Source organism: Homo sapiens, chromosome 1, assembly GCF_000001405.40.
Source record: "Homo sapiens chromosome 1, GRCh38.p14 Primary Assembly".
In the NCBI taxonomy this organism is placed as follows: domain Eukaryota; kingdom Metazoa; phylum Chordata; class Mammalia; order Primates; family Hominidae; genus Homo; species Homo sapiens.
Window position 1 is genome coordinate 171,284,576 of NC_000001.11, and position 15,942 is coordinate 171,300,517.

A 15,942-nucleotide genomic window follows, 5' to 3' on the forward strand; every position below is an offset into this window, starting at 1 on the left:
AAAAAAATAAAAGTTATTTAGGCATGGTGGCTCATGCTTGTAGTCCCACCTATTCCTAAGCCAGGAGGATCGCTTGAGCCAAGGAGTTCAAGGTTGCAGTGAGCTATGATCATGCCACTGCACTCCAGCCTAGGTGACAGAGCAAGACCTTGTAAAAAAAAAAAAAAAGAAAAAAGAAAAAAAGAAAAGGAAAAGAAAAATTAATTAATTAATTAAAGCCTAATACCAGCATTTCAGGGAATTTTACCCTATAGATTTTTGTGGCTTTTCACATTATATAAATCATTGGATTTGTTATTACTGAATAATGGAATTTTATAAAGATTTAGAAATTTTAAAATATATTTTCCTCTAGAAATTGCTAATTATTTCACAAAAGAACTAAGATGCATTATGAGCACTCAGAGCACCCATTAAAAGCCATATGTATAAAGTATCTTTTGAAGGGACTCATCTTGATTTAAGAAACAGAAGGAGACCGTTAGATAGGTAGGGAAATAAAGGGGAAAATGCAGAAACCATCCCAAATTCTGCAGCAGTATTTGTTTGCTTTGGGCACTTGTACTTGTTCTAAGATTATCAGTTTTTTTGTCTTCACCTTTTCCCCCAATCTTCCTTTTATAAAGGTTTGGCTTGTGCTACTGCAAGGCTTTACAATCAGATTATATCACATACATAGATGAACTCCTGACCTATATCAATGCAAAACCCAACCTGTTCTCTATGCTCCTAACGGATCCACATCTGGCTCTGACCGTCTTCTTTGGCCCATGCTCACCATACCAGTTCCGCTTGACTGGCCCAGGAAAATGGGAAGGAGCCAGAAATGCCATCATGACCCAGTGGGACCGAACATTCAAGGTCATCAAAGCTCGAGTTGTACAAGAGTCTCCATCTCCCTTTGAAAGTTTTCTTAAAGTCTTTAGCTTTCTGGCTTTGCTTGTGGCTATTTTTCTGATTTTCCTATAAGTAAAAGATCTCCTAAATGGAAGATGCACAGAGTAGATTTACAATGCTCCAATTCCTCTCTTACAGCAATATTGCCTTCACAGTTATAAACTGTATTCAAATAGTAAAGGCCACCCTCTCGCTTCCCTGGCTGGCCCCAGGGCTACCACTGGTATTCCTGAGCCTCTCCCAGCTCCACTTCTAATGCTAGAGAATGATAACTAAGACTTCTGTGCATTTGAAGGTTGTTGGAAAGTTACAGGTTCATTTTAGAAAGAAAGCTGTTCTTGACAGCACTCTGAGCCATCATACCTCTTTCCCATATAAACTATTTTCACAGATCTCAACTAAAACCCCTTACTTCACAAATGATTGTGTTGTGCTGAAATGGTGCTCTTATAGTACTGGCTTATTAAAAGTAAAAAATAAACCTAAAAATTGATTGTTTTAAGTGATCTTTTGTTCTCTTATTAAAGATTGGGAAAAGGGAGAAAAAGATGAGGATTCTATGAATAAAGCTCATAAAAGGATAGGGGGTTCAATGAGTTACTTTGAGAGTTTCCCAAAGGACTGTACCTGCCTGGGACTGTTCATTCCTCCAGAACACTCTTTATAACAAAGCTGTTACTCCAGCTGGCCTCCCAAAGACCCAAATCAGATTCCACAGAAAACCACCACCTCCACGGGCTCTTAGAACCAGCCTCCAGCAGCCAAAGGAAAAAGCCTACCTGCTTAGATCCTCCTTCACAACCCTGCTGTAAGAGGCAAATGGAGCTGCCTCCTTTTAAAGAGTCAATGAGAACCAACCAAATTCAATTGGAATTCATTAGATAAAGAGCACAGCCAAGAAGCTTTTAATGGAGAGAAAGCAGGGAGAGGAAAAAAGGGAAAGAAAAAGAGGAACAAAAGCAAACATCGTGTCAAAAGCAGCAGTTTCAATGAAACTAGACCCAGCCTATCTCACAGTTACAGCTGATGAAGATATGACTCATAATCAGGAAAGGCTTTGCTTCACTTCATCTCGTGGCTTATATGGAAAACCCTGTGGGTAAACCTCACCTCACAGAGAGGTCCACAGTTTGGATGCAGGGACAAGATTCAAAAACTGTGGCGTCAGGAAAAGAGTGATCTCTGTAGGGCCAGTACAGATACAGATCATTTCTCCCCAACTTTGTTTGGCTCTGCCAACTCTTCAGTATTGTTCCATTTCTTACTTTTCCTTGTGACCTGTTTCACTCTTACCATAGAAACACATGATGAAGAATTGCCCCCACTGCATACAATCTAGATTACTCCTAGAAATGCTTTTCTTTCCATTGAAACAAAGCTGATATTTTAACTTTCCTCATGAAGCTGGCTGGGGAGAAGTTTAGTGCCCAAGGTGAAACAAGGAAGGATAAACTCCTCAGGCCACAGTGGCAAATCATGACACAAGCGGCCACCTGAACCTGATCATATCTACTGCACTGGGAGACTGAATATACATATGGTCAATGACCAGACCATTTACAGCAATAGATTTATAACCTACAACCCCTGCAGCAATCAGCTCAGAACAGTCAGGACTTGTTTAATGAGTGCCAGCTTCTCTACTTGTTGCCCCTGCTTCTAACTCAGGAGTGACGAAAGAAAGCCAAATAAGCTTCTCAAACCAGTCCCATCTGATGTCTTGCTTCTAGTTAACCTACCTCCACCTTCCCTATGCCAACAACCATCAGTGAGAGTACCTGAAGCCTTCCCTTTCTTTCACTATAAACACACACAAACACACACACACACACACAAAACCTCCCCTGCTGCCTTTGAATCTGTGCCAAACATTAGTGGTGGTGCCAGCAAAAAAAAACATATATTATGTAAAGACTACAGCAGTAATTATAATGCTGCACATTTTATACTATTTTAAAATTAATAAAATGCCAACTGTTATCTCACTTAATCCACACAATAATGATGTGATTGGGAAGACGACTGTACTACATACACAATTTGACAAGTAAGAAAACTCAGATAAGGAGATGTCAATTGATTTGTCCCAGGTAACAGGTAAAATGTGGCTGAGTCAGAACATGAGAATCCAGAACATACATCACAGGCTTTTTACCATTTAAGCCCACTGTCTCCAATGTTCAAATGACTCCAGAAGCCTTAATAGTGATATTGCAAAAGCCATATTACAAGAATGTTACTCCATGAAAGTATCTGTAGGTCTCTCTCCCTTTCCCACTCTCCCTATGAGTGTGTGTGGACCTGTCTGCCTGTCAATTGTCAATCGTTCATGCTGTGCCTAGAATTTCATATCTTTCCCTTTATATATATCTTTAATTTCTGAATCCATGGGTTTGAATCTCCACATGCATCTTTTTCCCTGTGCATTCCTTTTTTTTCCTGACTATGGCTGTGCTAGGCCTCCTCTATGACTATATTATAGAACAGACTCAAAAGTCTACAAGTCTCTAAGACTGTGTTATAGAACAGACTCATTTCTAGTCTAGAAATTATTCCATGCACACTCCTGAAAAAAGTATCATTTTTTTCTGTTCAGAAAAAAAAATTGAGTGAATTCTCATAAATCTAGCAAAATAGGAAATACGTAAAACATTTTGACATTACATTACTTACTCTGTTTCTTGCACACTATTTAAACCAGAAGAGCTTCTGAGGCATTTCCTGTTTCTTGCACACTATTTAAATCAGAAGAGCTTCTGAGGCATTTCATCACCAAGAGTAATTTTATGTTTTCTGAAAATATTTTTAATGTCTATTAATAGTACCCCCTGCTAGACCAGTCTTAAGTAAAGTTACCTATCTTCTCATGTACCAATGCTCTGGGTCTTTCAACATGTCCCATCGTGTGGAGATGCTTGGAGAACCAGCAAGGGCCCTGCCACTTACTAGCTGTGTGACCTTGAGCAAGTCACTTACTTTTCCTAAGCTACAGTTTTCCCTTCTATAACATAGAAGTTATCTTCTGAGAATTTATTTTGCCTCATAAGGATGTTATGAGGATTAAATGGCATGATCCACATAAAGTACTTCGCATAAATACTGTACAAGGTATGTGTTCAATAAATGATAGCTATTATTACTATGTTACCCAAGCAAGATGTATGTTTTATCGCCTGATTTATTTTTTCTAGGCCATAGACCTAGCTCCTCATAGGGCATTGACACCACAGTATGTCACAGGCCTCTCAAATGCAGTATGCTCAAAATTAAACTCATTTCCCAACAGTCCTTATTTTCCCCAACAGTCCTTACTTAACTGCTAATGTCATCATCCTTATCCTCTGTAGGGAAATGAACAATTTCCGTGAATAATTACACATCGACTAAGGACATTAATGAGGTTATTTGATTTTTATTCTATGGTAACTATTTTATAACTCAGTAAATTATAGATAACTAATAGCAGTGCAAAATAATTCTTGTCTATAGACACGTAGATAATGTCCAGCAGAAGTCTAATTGGCGTCCCTTCCCCACTGTGCGAAAAACTAGTTTTGCCTCCATTTGCACATTCATTTCAACATTCCTGATTTATACATGCGTATTTTATCTTTAAATTTTCTTTTGAACTGATTGTAACATCTTACCAATTTCCTTTTTAATAACAAGTGAAATAAAATCTCTAATACGTGTCTATCTTACATTTGTATGAATCACAATTCTACCTTCTTTGAAAATTATCTTTTAACTCTTCCAAGGAATAGCAACACCATTTACCAATAGTTATGTTTCCACTGAAACACATCACCTTTGACACTCTAACCCTCATACCTCATATCCAACAGCCTATGAGCCTTATCAAGTGTGTCTCTAACACAGAGCAAAGACCACTGTGGTACTGAGTGCAAACACATGGGCTGTAGAGTCAGATGGCCCGGGTTGAATCCTACTTTGCTGCACAACCTTGGGCTAGTTATTTAATGTCTTCTAACTTCAGTTCCTTTATCTATAAAATATGGAAGTAACACTTCAGCATTGCTGTAACGGAGAATTAATGAAGATAATCCATGTAAAGCATTAGGCCAGTGCCTGGCATGTGGTCAGTGCTTACCTAAAGGTAACTATTAATATCTCACAGACTCATCTGTCTCTTACCCTCCCTTCTTCCTCACTGGCTAGTTTAGACTCATTTAATTTCTTCCCTAGGTTAGTGCTACCTGGCTTCCCTGGTCCCCTTACCACCATTTAGTCCCTCTACCCCTGTCTCCCTGCTTCCCCAAGAATAATTTGTGGGTGATGCCATTCTCAGAAGCAGTCATAGTAAGAGGAGATAAAAATGAAGAGCTTCTTATGTTCTCCTACCCTCAGTGTCGCTGTCTCAATCACTGCTTCCCAATTTAGGAAGTTTCACATGGGGGCTGTAAACAACTGAGAAAAACAACATCTTTTAGAGTTGTCCTGTCCCTCATGAGATAGAATACATTATTATTTTAAAATATTCTAACTTGAGAGCACTTTGATTAAAAATGAAAGAAGACTGCATTTAATTCTTTCTCTGAAAGACAAAAACTTTGTTAGACATTTTAAAGTGGACCTAAATATTTTAAGCCAAAAGGAAAAATATGAGATCAGCCTCTATTATTGAGCAAATTTTCCTACAGAGTAAAACTTATACTACTTAACTATGCATTTTTTTTAATTTCAGACATTCATTTTTGTGGACGTATAAGCAGCCTTTATAAAGAGTATGCTTCTTATTAGAGTTATAGCCAGATTAGTAAACAGAGAAGGAGCGAGTGCAATATGAGGTTAGAAATAGGAGCTAATCTTAAATGCCGGCAGCAAAGGAGAATCCATGTTAGCAAAATGCTCCTCTGCAAAAGCCATACTATAATATCAAGACATAAAAGGACTCAAAGGGACATATTCCAGGCCATTAGGGGAGGAAAGTGGTCATTGTGGAATCAAAATGATATTAAATGCATTTGGGGGCAATTTGGCAATATCGTGCATAATTTTAAATGCATGTATCCTTTGACACAATTACGTATCTCAGAGTCTATTCCATAGAAATTGTCATGTGTACAAAGATATTTATACAAAGATGTTCATTGTCATATTGTTTGTAAAAACAAAGAAGTGTTGTCAGTGGAGGAAAATGATGAAACAAGTCTCATTTCAAGGTTGTGAAATTTATTTAGTTACTAAAGGGTGTTAAATCAGACAAGGTAAGTGCTCTGTTCTTTATAAGACTGCTGTTGCCAGCATATCTAGGACAATAATTATAATGGTTATTGTACAATAAACATAGGCATTCCTTGGTATACAGGCCTGGTTCTGTGTCTTGGGTTTAAGCCGTCCACAACAGCTGTCGTCTGCTTCTAATCCTGCATTAAAGGTTGATGTTTAATGAACTGGAGGCAAAGGTCTTTGGTGGGAGTTACAGTCTACTCAGGACATTGTGCCTTTTTAAGATGAGAGATGTGAATCCATGAGTCTATACCCTCTAATTTTGTGGCACATGGATTAGTCAATAATACCTGGTATAGTACCCCTTCCACTGGGGTTGAAGGAAGTCCTTTATTAGATGTCCTTCCCAGTAGACAAAATCTCTTAGTTGCAGATCATGGCCAGGCACCTTATCTTCAGGGTGCATACTGTGAAAGGAATTATTTACCAAATCTTAATTTTTTTTTTTTTTTGAGACAGAGTCTCACTCTGTCACCCAGGCTGGAGTGCAGTGGCGTGATCTCAGCTCACTGCAACCTCCACCTCCCAGGTTCAAGGGATTCTTCTGCCTCACCCTCCCAAGTAGCTGGAACTAGAGGTGCATGCCACTACACCCAGCTAATTTTTGTATTTTTAGTAGGGACAGTTTTCAGCATATTGGCCAGGCTGGTCTCGAACTCCTGACCTCATGATCCACCTGCCTCGGCCTCCCAAAGTGCTGGGATTACAGGCATGAGCCACTGTGCCTGGCCCAAATCTTGATTTTTTTTACGGTAATAAATGAGTCCCTCACAATATTGCAATATATCTCCCTTAAGAAGAGTTGGATTGGTTATGTTCATTCCCATACACATGGGCCTTCCTGTTATAATTTCATAAGGGGAAAGTTGATGTTTTCCAAAAGGGGTGGATCAGACCGTAAGCAGCTTTGGACCAGGGGAGGTGAAATGCCTCTGTGAACTTAGCCAATTGTGTTTTAATTATTCCATTGGTCCTTTCCACCAGGCCTGAGGACTGGGGGTGGTAGGCACAATGGAAATGTTGAAATATGGGCCAAATTTCACAAACATCTTGAATAACCTGGCCGGTAAAGTGAGCTCCCCTGTCACTGTGAAGTTCACAGGGGACTCCCCACAGTGGGATAATTTTTTGTAGAAGAATTTTCCAACTGCCATGGCTGTTGCTTGCCTGCAGGGAAAAGCTTCAACCCAACGGGAAAACATGCAGACCATTACAAAAACATACTTAACAACCTTGAGATGATGGCAGCCAGATAAAATCAAGCTGCCATACCTCAAAGGGTCCAGCCGGAAGGAAAAAATGACCGTGGGCCCCATGGAGGGTCTTTCCTAGGTTTTGTTTGGGACAAATAGCACATTAAGAGTAACCTTTTTGGGCCGGGCGCGGTGGCTCACGCCTGTAATCCCAGCACTTTGGGAGGCCGAGGCGGGCGGATCACGAGGTCAGGAGATCGAGACCATCCCGGCTAAAACGGTGAAACCCCGTCTCTACTAAAAATACAAAAAAACTAGCCGGGCGTAGTGGCGGGCGCCTGTAGTCCCAGCTACTTGGGAGGCTGAGGCAGGAGAATGGCGTGAACCCGGGAGGCGGAGCCTCCAGTGAGCCGAGATCCCGCCACTGCACTCCAGCCTGGGCGACAGAGCGAGACTCCGTCTCAAAAAAAAAAAAAAAAAAAAAAAAAAGAGTAACCTTTTTGTGCCACTGTGAAGGATGGTTTCCAGTAATATTGTTTACACCAGGGTATTATTTTATCTAGATTCCAATGGGTTAGATTATGAACATACTCCATAAGGGACACCTGACATCCCATTGGAATAATGGGTTTATTATTAGGTCCACATCATATTTCACTTTCAAGAGACAAGTACCTCCCTGCCTGTTTCCAAGTAGATTTCTCTTCTGTAGGAGCTATGCTCTGGGTTTCTTTCAACATGTTTTTAAGTATTTGGGGTTTTATGGCCATTTCCCAGATTGGGACTGGTGGCTCGGATGCTGCTCTTTTAGCTGTAGCTTCAGCCAGTTGGTTACCCTAACTTTCTATGGTGTCTAATTTTGAATGACCTGGGATTTTCATAGTTGCCAAACATTTTGGTTTTAGAATAGCTTCTAATAGCTCTGATACTTGTTGTCCATTTTTTATGGGTTGCCCCAAGGAGGTTAAATATCCTCTCTCTTTCCATAACATAACAAAGTCATGAGCAACCTCAAAAGCAGCAGTCAGTGTAAATGGTTGCAGCCTTGTCTTTTTGCCAGTTGGCAAGCTCGGGTCAGGGCAATCAATTTGGCTACTTGAGCTGATCTGGCCTGGGGAAGAGGACTGGCTTTAATTACCTCTAGTAAGGAAACCACAGCATATCCTGCTCTAAAATTTTCATCCTCTCCTCTTAAATAAGACCCATCTGTATACCATTCTGTCTCAGCATTATCCAGTGGCATCTCCTGTAGGTCTGTCCTGGGAGAGAGAAGTCAGTCAGTCATCAGAGCACAGTCATGGGGGGTTTTGTTGGAAGGTCCTGGCAAGAGAGTGGCTGGATTAAGATTATTACAGCAGGAAATGGTAATATTGGGAGATGATCAAAGCAAAATTTCATAAGAGGCTAACCAGTTGACAGATGTTGAGTATGATGAGAGTTTAGAAGGGCTTCAAGAGAATGTGGCACAAAAATGGTAAGAGGGGAACCTATAATTGTATCTTCAACAGATTTGTACAGAAGGGTCATGGCCGCTATTGCTGTCACACAAGGAAGCAGCCCTTGAGCCACAGGGTACAGGTGTTGACTATAATAGCTTATAGGTCTCTGATGATCACCATGTCTCTAGGTCAGTACCCTGGATGCAGTACCTCCAGTTTCATGTACGAAAAGGGAGAAAGGCAATTTGTAGTTTGGGTACGTTAAGGCTGGGGCATTAGTTAGAATTTCCTTTATTTGTTGTACAGCTGATTGTGCCTCTGGAGTCCACCTGATGGGATCAGGTTGTTTATTTTTTAGGTATGCATACAGAGGTTGAGACATAAGGGAGAAATATGGTATCCAGTTTCTACAATAGCCATCCAGGCTTAAAAATCCTCTAAGTTTTTTCTTAGCAATGGGCATTGGGAAAGCTAAAATTCCTCTCACTCTGTCGGGGTTAATACTCAGTCTTTTGACTAAGATAATATGCCCCAAATACTTAACTTGCAGTAAGCATAGCAGAAGTTTGTCTTTGGACACTTTATGTCCCTTGGTGGCTGTTTGAGTAAATATAGACTATCTTCCTGAAAGGATAGATAGTGTGTCTGGACAAAGGAGAAAGTCATCCACATTCTGAATGAGTGTTGAGTCCTGGGGAAAAATTAAATACTCTAAATCAGCTTTTAATATTTGGGAAAAGTAAGTGGGACTTTCTGTATACCCTTTGGGACATTACAGTCCACATATATTGCTGTTCTTTCCAAGCAAAAGCAAACAAATACTGACTGGATCTACAGGAATACTAAAGAAGGCATTACAGAGATTCACAACTGAGAAATACTGGCTGGTAGTGGGTATAGCTGATAGAAGGGTATGTGGGTTGGGACTACTGGGTGCCTGGGTATTACAATATTGCTTATTGCCCTCAAGTCCTGCACAACTCTCCGTCCTCTCTTGCTTAGTTTCTTTACAGGGAATACAGGGCTGTTGCAGGGGCTTGTGCAGGGAATAATAAGCCCCTTTTTCAGATAATCGTGTATGATAGGGGCAATTCCATCTATGGCTTCCTGTCGTAGAGAATATTGTTTAAGGTTGGGTAGGGGTTTCTTTGGGTTCATCTCCACCTTTATTGGAGTGGCTGAGAATATTTTTCCTATATCTGCATTTGACTGAGACCATAAATGGGAGGGGATATCCTTGAGTAAGTGCTCTGCTTCTGGCATTAACAGGAAGACTGGGGAAGCTAGAAAGAGTTGTAATGTTTCCTGTTTTTTATTCCAGTGTTTTCTCTTCCCCCCAATATTTCCTTCTCTGTCTCCATTTTATTTTCCCAGTCACAAGCTTATGTTTTAACATTACTAGTAGTAAATTGTGGTACATTGTCAGGACATTTTTTAATTTGGTATTTTTGGTACCCTGGCTCCAATTCTAAAAAAGGTTCACTTTTTTATGAAAAAGAGATATAGACATTATGGATGTGGAGGAGGTCACAGCCCAAAAGATTGACAGGGGACCCAGGGCATGTAAGAAACATATGGGACCTACTGAGCATGTCACACTTAGAGCCTTCAGCGGGGGAGCTGAACCTGATGAACCAGTAAGGTACAGATTTGGACTTAAAACATAAGATTGTTTTATTAGACACTCCCGCCATGTAAATTCTTTCATTACTCCAGAGAATGGGGTTTCTAATTAAGACAGGAGTTATCAGCAATATGGTCACACCTGCATCAAATAAGGCAGTTGTAAGCTTACGGTTTATTATATTAGTCTCTCCCAATTTGTTTGTCAGGGTAGAATATTTGGAGAGGTGAAACCCCTGCATTTCCTTGGAGCATCCCTCGTCTTCCAGAGTTGCATTTTCCTGCCTTTTCTTTCAGCCTAAGGTAATCCCTCTTAAGGTGTCCCGGTCTTTTATAGTAGTAACAGACTAGAAGTGAAGAGTTCTCAGACTGAGGAAGCTTAGATTCTTCCTGGGGCCAAGAGAAGTTAATTGCTTTAGCTGTAAATGCATAACTCAGGCAATCTTCTGTTTTTCCTTTTTTATCATAGTGTGGGCTAATTTGTCAGCTAGGTTAACTCGTTCATTAGTTCTGGCTATGGCCCAATTTGTCATGTGGTGTTTTACAAGGGTGGCTAAATCACGATCTAGTCCATTTAATTGAAAAATTTTTTGTCTGGGCGCAGTGGCTCATGCCTGTAATTCCAGCACTTTGGGAGGCCAAGGCAGGCGGATCACAAGGTCAGGAAATTGAGACCATCTGGCCAACATGGTGAAATCCCATCTCTACTAAAAGTACAAAAATGAGCTAGGCATGGTGGCGCGTGACTGTCTTCCCAGCTACTCAGGAGGCTGAGGCAGAAGAATCGCTTGAACCAGGGAGTCAGAGGTTACAGTGAGCCGAGACGGCACCACTGCACTCTAGCCTGGGTGACACAGCGAGACTCCATCTCAAAAAAAAAAAAAAATTAATAAAGAAATTTGCATCTAATAATGTATCATTTTTATTGTTTTTAAAGCAATCAGCTGACATACTGCAACACTGTCTTAAAGTTTTATTAGAATGTGTGAAATAGTCTAAAACTGATTCATTTGGGTTCTAGCAGCATTGTTGGATTTTATTCCAATCCATAACCCTTTGGAACACTGAAGGAATGCTATTTAACAGAGCAGTGACTCTTTCCAGCACGTTTTTATGCCTGTCTTCTGAATTCGGTGGGGCTGGTTCTTGTGACTCTATTGGGCCTTCAGGGGTCAAATCTGCTATAGGATCTGACCATTATGCTTTTTCCAGCCATTCCTTAGCTTTAGCTTCTGAGATCAAGATGTAGACTAGCTGATGAAGGTCTGAATAACCTAGCTCATATAATGAGCTCAAATTCTCAGGCAAACCCAATTGGATATTTATGAGGGTCAGGAAATTCTTTATGCCTTGTAATTCAGCCTTTGAATAGGGTTCATAGACAATCACTGGGGTTCCCCTACCTGTTATTGGCTGTTCCCAAAATGGGGTTATCATGAGAGAAGTCCCTGCGGAGTTCCCCTTTTCCACATCTTCCAGATGAGATGCTGCATTGGGGCTGTCGGGTAATCTTCCGTGGGTGGGGTCTTTGAAGTCAGATTCCCAACTGCCTTCTGTTAAGTGAGTGTTAAACATGCAGGAGAAGGTGGGGACAGATCTGGTCCCGGAATTTCAGAGAGGTCAGGGTAGAGTGGGGTTGGAGGTGGAGGTGGGGGAGGTGCCTAGGGGGAAGCAAGAGATCCCAAGGATTTATTTAAGGGAGATAAAAGATGAGAGAGTTCTTGACTAGCATTTCTAACTTGTTTGTTCACCTCCTGTAGGGAGATGAGGTGGCCTTCCCCAGTTTTGCTACTTTCCAGATACCACTAAAAATGGCTCTCCCATTCTGGTTGTTTAGTTTTTGTCTCTGCGTTTTCCATCTTGGTTTGCAAGTACACTAATTTGGGCATCTCAAAAGATTCCCATTTAAGCCACTGTAATTTAGAATCTGCTTTAGTTATAGTGGTCCACTTGGTTAAATATTTGCATGATGATTCACCATAAGTATTTTGCATATACCCAGCCAGAGTTTCTAATGGGGGAAGTTTATCTTCCACAGCTGCTGGGGTCTTAGAGGCCTCGTTCTCCATAATTTAGAGTTCCTCTTTGGATTTGACCAAGTCAGGACATGTGTCACACCCAAAATATGCTGCTTGCAAACCTAGCTTTTCAGGGCCATTACACCCTGAACTGGTTTGGTCCACACATATTGCAGCTACCAGGCACAATGTGTCAGGGGCTCAAGGTGCAGGAGGCGTTAGTTCCTTGCATGCACCTGCCAGCTGAGATTAGACCCTAAGTATGTTCTTCTGAGGGGGAAACTTATTTAGAGCCACTGCACATCTTAGGGAGCATTTCTCCCAGACACCCTCATGTGATTCTCAGTCACCTGAGAATGCCTAGAAAGGCTAAGGGGAGCAAGGTGTTCTATTTCTTCAGAGTGGAAGATTCCACACTAATGAGCTAGAGGGTTTGGTGTTGGTCAAATGCAATAGGGGAAAGGATAAAAACATACACATATAGGCATACACAAAAACATAAACAAACAAAACAGTTAAGCAAAACTCACAATGATCACACAAGTTATACGATTTCTGAGTGTTCTAAGTGTAAGCAAGAAATTAACACCAGCTTGTTCTTAATGCTAATGTTAGTCATTTAAAAGAATTTGCAAGACAGAATCCCAAACCAGTTTCTTACCTAGCGATGGGGGCCCAAGCTGAAGACAACTCTCCAGTGATGCAGAAGCAGATGAGCTTGCCTTCCTTGATGGAAGCAAGTGGAAAAACTCCCACAAAATAAAGACTTTTTTTTTTTAACAGCATTCAAACCTCAGATCCCCAACTGAAAAACGCTGGAAGATTCCCAGACTTCGGCAAATCATCCTATCGGTTTGGGCTGTAAGGTGCCCAAGCTAGTACCAATCACCAAGAGGCAAACTGCAGCAGGCCAGGTATCTTTCACTCAGGATCCCTTTGTGGTTACCAGATGTCAATCAAGAAAAATGATGAGACAAGTCTCAATCATTTCATGAGATTTATTTGCCAAAGTTAAGGACTTGCCCAGGAGACAGATCTATGCCTTTCTCCAAAGGCAAAAGGCTCCAAATTTAAAGTGGAAAGGGCGGGATATTGAGAAGGACACAGTTTTCATGTAAGTGCATTTTTACATAAGATGACATAAAAGGAGCAGAGGAAAAATACAGGAATCTGCATTTTACATAAGATAACACAGACAACATGGAGTAGGGGAACAATCAGATATGCATTTGTGTCTGGTGAGCTGAGGTAACTGCACATTATAAAGATAAGCTATCAATTTGCACTGCCATGGTGAAGTTTTAACAATTCACTAGGAATTTCCTTGTGGGCAAAATATGGGGGAAGTGTGTAGCTCTTCATCTTGTAGCCATCTTATTTAGGAACTAAAAGGGGAAGGCAGATTTGCATGACCCAGTTCCCAACTTGACTTTTCCCATTGGTTAAATGTGTTTGGGGTCCCAAAATTAATTTCCTTTCACAGTGTAAATAACCGTGTCTGTCAGTAGTGGTATTGAAATGGCTCCGTTGTCTGGGGATATACCCATGGTTCTTTGTCTTGCTCCAAGAAAGAATTCAGGACATGGACACACACAAGGAGTGGGTTTAGGAGAGGAAAGTTTAATAGACAAAGAAGAGAAAGAAAGCTTTCTCATGCTGAGAAAGCAGGTCGCCCAAGAGAGGGTCTCCAGGTTTGGGGTGGAACACGATCAATTTTGCACAGAGGCTTGAGGACGCAGTGATTGATTTACCTGGTCAGTTGGTTTGACCAGGTGTGCTATTTAAATAGCCTATGAAAAGACTGGCCCTTCCACCCTAATTTTTTGTTATGCAAATGCGGCTTCTACCTGGTGGTCACTATGACACCTGCACAGGTGGTGACAAGGAAAAGAGAGCACAAAATGGCATATTGAACATACCTTGCTTCCAGGTACAGCTGCTGGCATTTACATATAAAAGCTTCTAGCTTGCATATTTATGCTTGCAGCTCGACTTTTCAGGCTGCTTTCTGTGAGGGAAGAAATGGTTTGGGGGCTGCTTTTTACTGAAGGAAAATTTCACTGAGAACTCTTTTACCCTTTCTAGCTGCCTAAAATTAATTTATTAATAACTCCTATGTTAGTATGGTTAATTTATGACACAACCTGTCACAACCAACACTAACACTAGCACAGACTGCTTGGGTTCCAGGGGGTTGCTCCACCATTGCTACTATTTCAAGAAACAGAAAATTCAAAGTTAACTGGCATGACAAGAAACAACTGGTGGCTCACATAATTGGGAGTCCAGCAATAGGGAGGGCTTCTGGGTGGACTTAATCCAGTAGCTTCGGTGACATTCCCTGAGAATGGGAATTCTCCACATTTCCCTTGGATCTGCCCTTCTCCCTAGGCCAGCTTCATTCTCAGTGTAGTAAGTGGATAGTACCAAAATTTCAGGCTACAGTCTGCAGAAAAAGAGGGGAAAGTAATTCCAGGAGTCTTCCAGAAGGACAATCTGACAGGTAGCTGCTTGCACCCAAAAAGTCTGTTTCCCCCTTCATCCTGGTCACATGGCCACCTCTCTGGCACGTACATTTCCCAGTCTTCCTTGCAGTTTGTGTGGCCATGTGACCAAGTTCTTGAAAACAGTATGTGAATAGAGATAATGTGTGCAATTTCTCCCTCACTTACTTAAAAAAGGAAATTGTTTACTCTAAACTTCTCACTTTCTTTTTTCTGCAAGCCGTCATAGTCATGGCAAGGTCAATCCAGCCAGTCCAGTCCCATCCCTCCAGAACTCAAGCACACTATCCAGAGGCCTGGAGATTGCCTAACCTAGTCTACCTTCCCTGGCACCTAAACAGGCTGACCCAACCTGCTGATACCACCACAGCTAGCACCCATTCACATACACTACCAGTAGGCCAGGAGACTGGCTTACACAACCTGTCACAACCAACACTAACACTAGCACAGACTGCTTAGGTTCCAGGGGGTTGCTCCACCATTGCTACTGCCATTGCTCACATCACACCTGCTGCCCAAGGAAGAGGGGAGTTAGACTCTACTAACAACCACTCACTAAGCCACTGAGGAAATCATAGATACTACTGATACTGTTTACAGCTGAAGAAATTATACAGTGTCTACACTCCCGCATGCACCCAAAATCAAAGTAAAAGCACCCCATGGAACCAAAAATGTAAATAAATCTTCAGGAAAAATCCTCCCCAGCAAAAGCAACTTCAAGAAATTGGAAGAAGTTATTGTTACACCAGATGCAGAGATATCAATATAAGGGAACAGAAAATGTGAAAAAACAAGAAACTATGACACCCCCAAAGGAACACAATAATTTTCCAGCAACAGATCCCAAGCAAAAAGAAATTCATGAAATCCCAGATAAAGAATTCAAAATACTGAATTTAAAGCAGCTCAGTGTGATACAAGAGAACACTGCAAATACAGGTTTCTCTGTACTGAAAACAATACAGAGAAATCGGGAAAACAATTCAAGATATGAATAAGAAATTTACCAAGA

At 41.1% G+C, this 15,942-nt stretch overlaps 1 protein-coding gene across 7 annotated transcripts in view, besides 2 other annotated features; it reads left to right on the forward strand.

The window, feature by feature from the left end:
* The window catches only part of FMO1 (flavin containing dimethylaniline monoxygenase 1), a 37,485-nt gene extending 36,082 nt beyond the window's left edge, over positions 1-1,403 (forward strand). For 4 of the 7 annotated variants that reach the window (XM_005245038.5, XM_006711241.5, NM_001282692.1 and 1 more), the window contains one exon: positions 627-1,403. In XM_005245038.5, the coding sequence (XP_005245095.1) occupies positions 627-679 (53 nt within the window). In that variant the 3' untranslated portion in view covers positions 680-1,403. The remainder of the gene's footprint in view (positions 1-626) is intronic. The other 3 variants (NM_001282693.2, NM_001282694.2, NM_002021.3) reach the window with 1 other exon arrangement.
* Positions 13,988-14,780: an enhancer, noted in NCBI's record as "OCT4-NANOG-H3K27ac hESC enhancer chr1:171267702-171268494 (GRCh37/hg19 assembly coordinates)". NCBI's record gives its function as "activates a minimal SCP1, AML or CMV promoter by ChIP-STARR-seq in primed H9 embryonic stem cells {active_cell/tissue: H9 hESC(primed)}" and the evidence as "EXISTENCE:reporter gene assay evidence [ECO:0000049][PMID:30033119]".
* Positions 14,781-15,571: an enhancer, noted in NCBI's record as "OCT4-NANOG-H3K27ac hESC enhancer chr1:171268495-171269285 (GRCh37/hg19 assembly coordinates)". NCBI's record gives its function as "activates a minimal SCP1, AML or CMV promoter by ChIP-STARR-seq in primed H9 embryonic stem cells {active_cell/tissue: H9 hESC(primed)}" and the evidence as "EXISTENCE:reporter gene assay evidence [ECO:0000049][PMID:30033119]".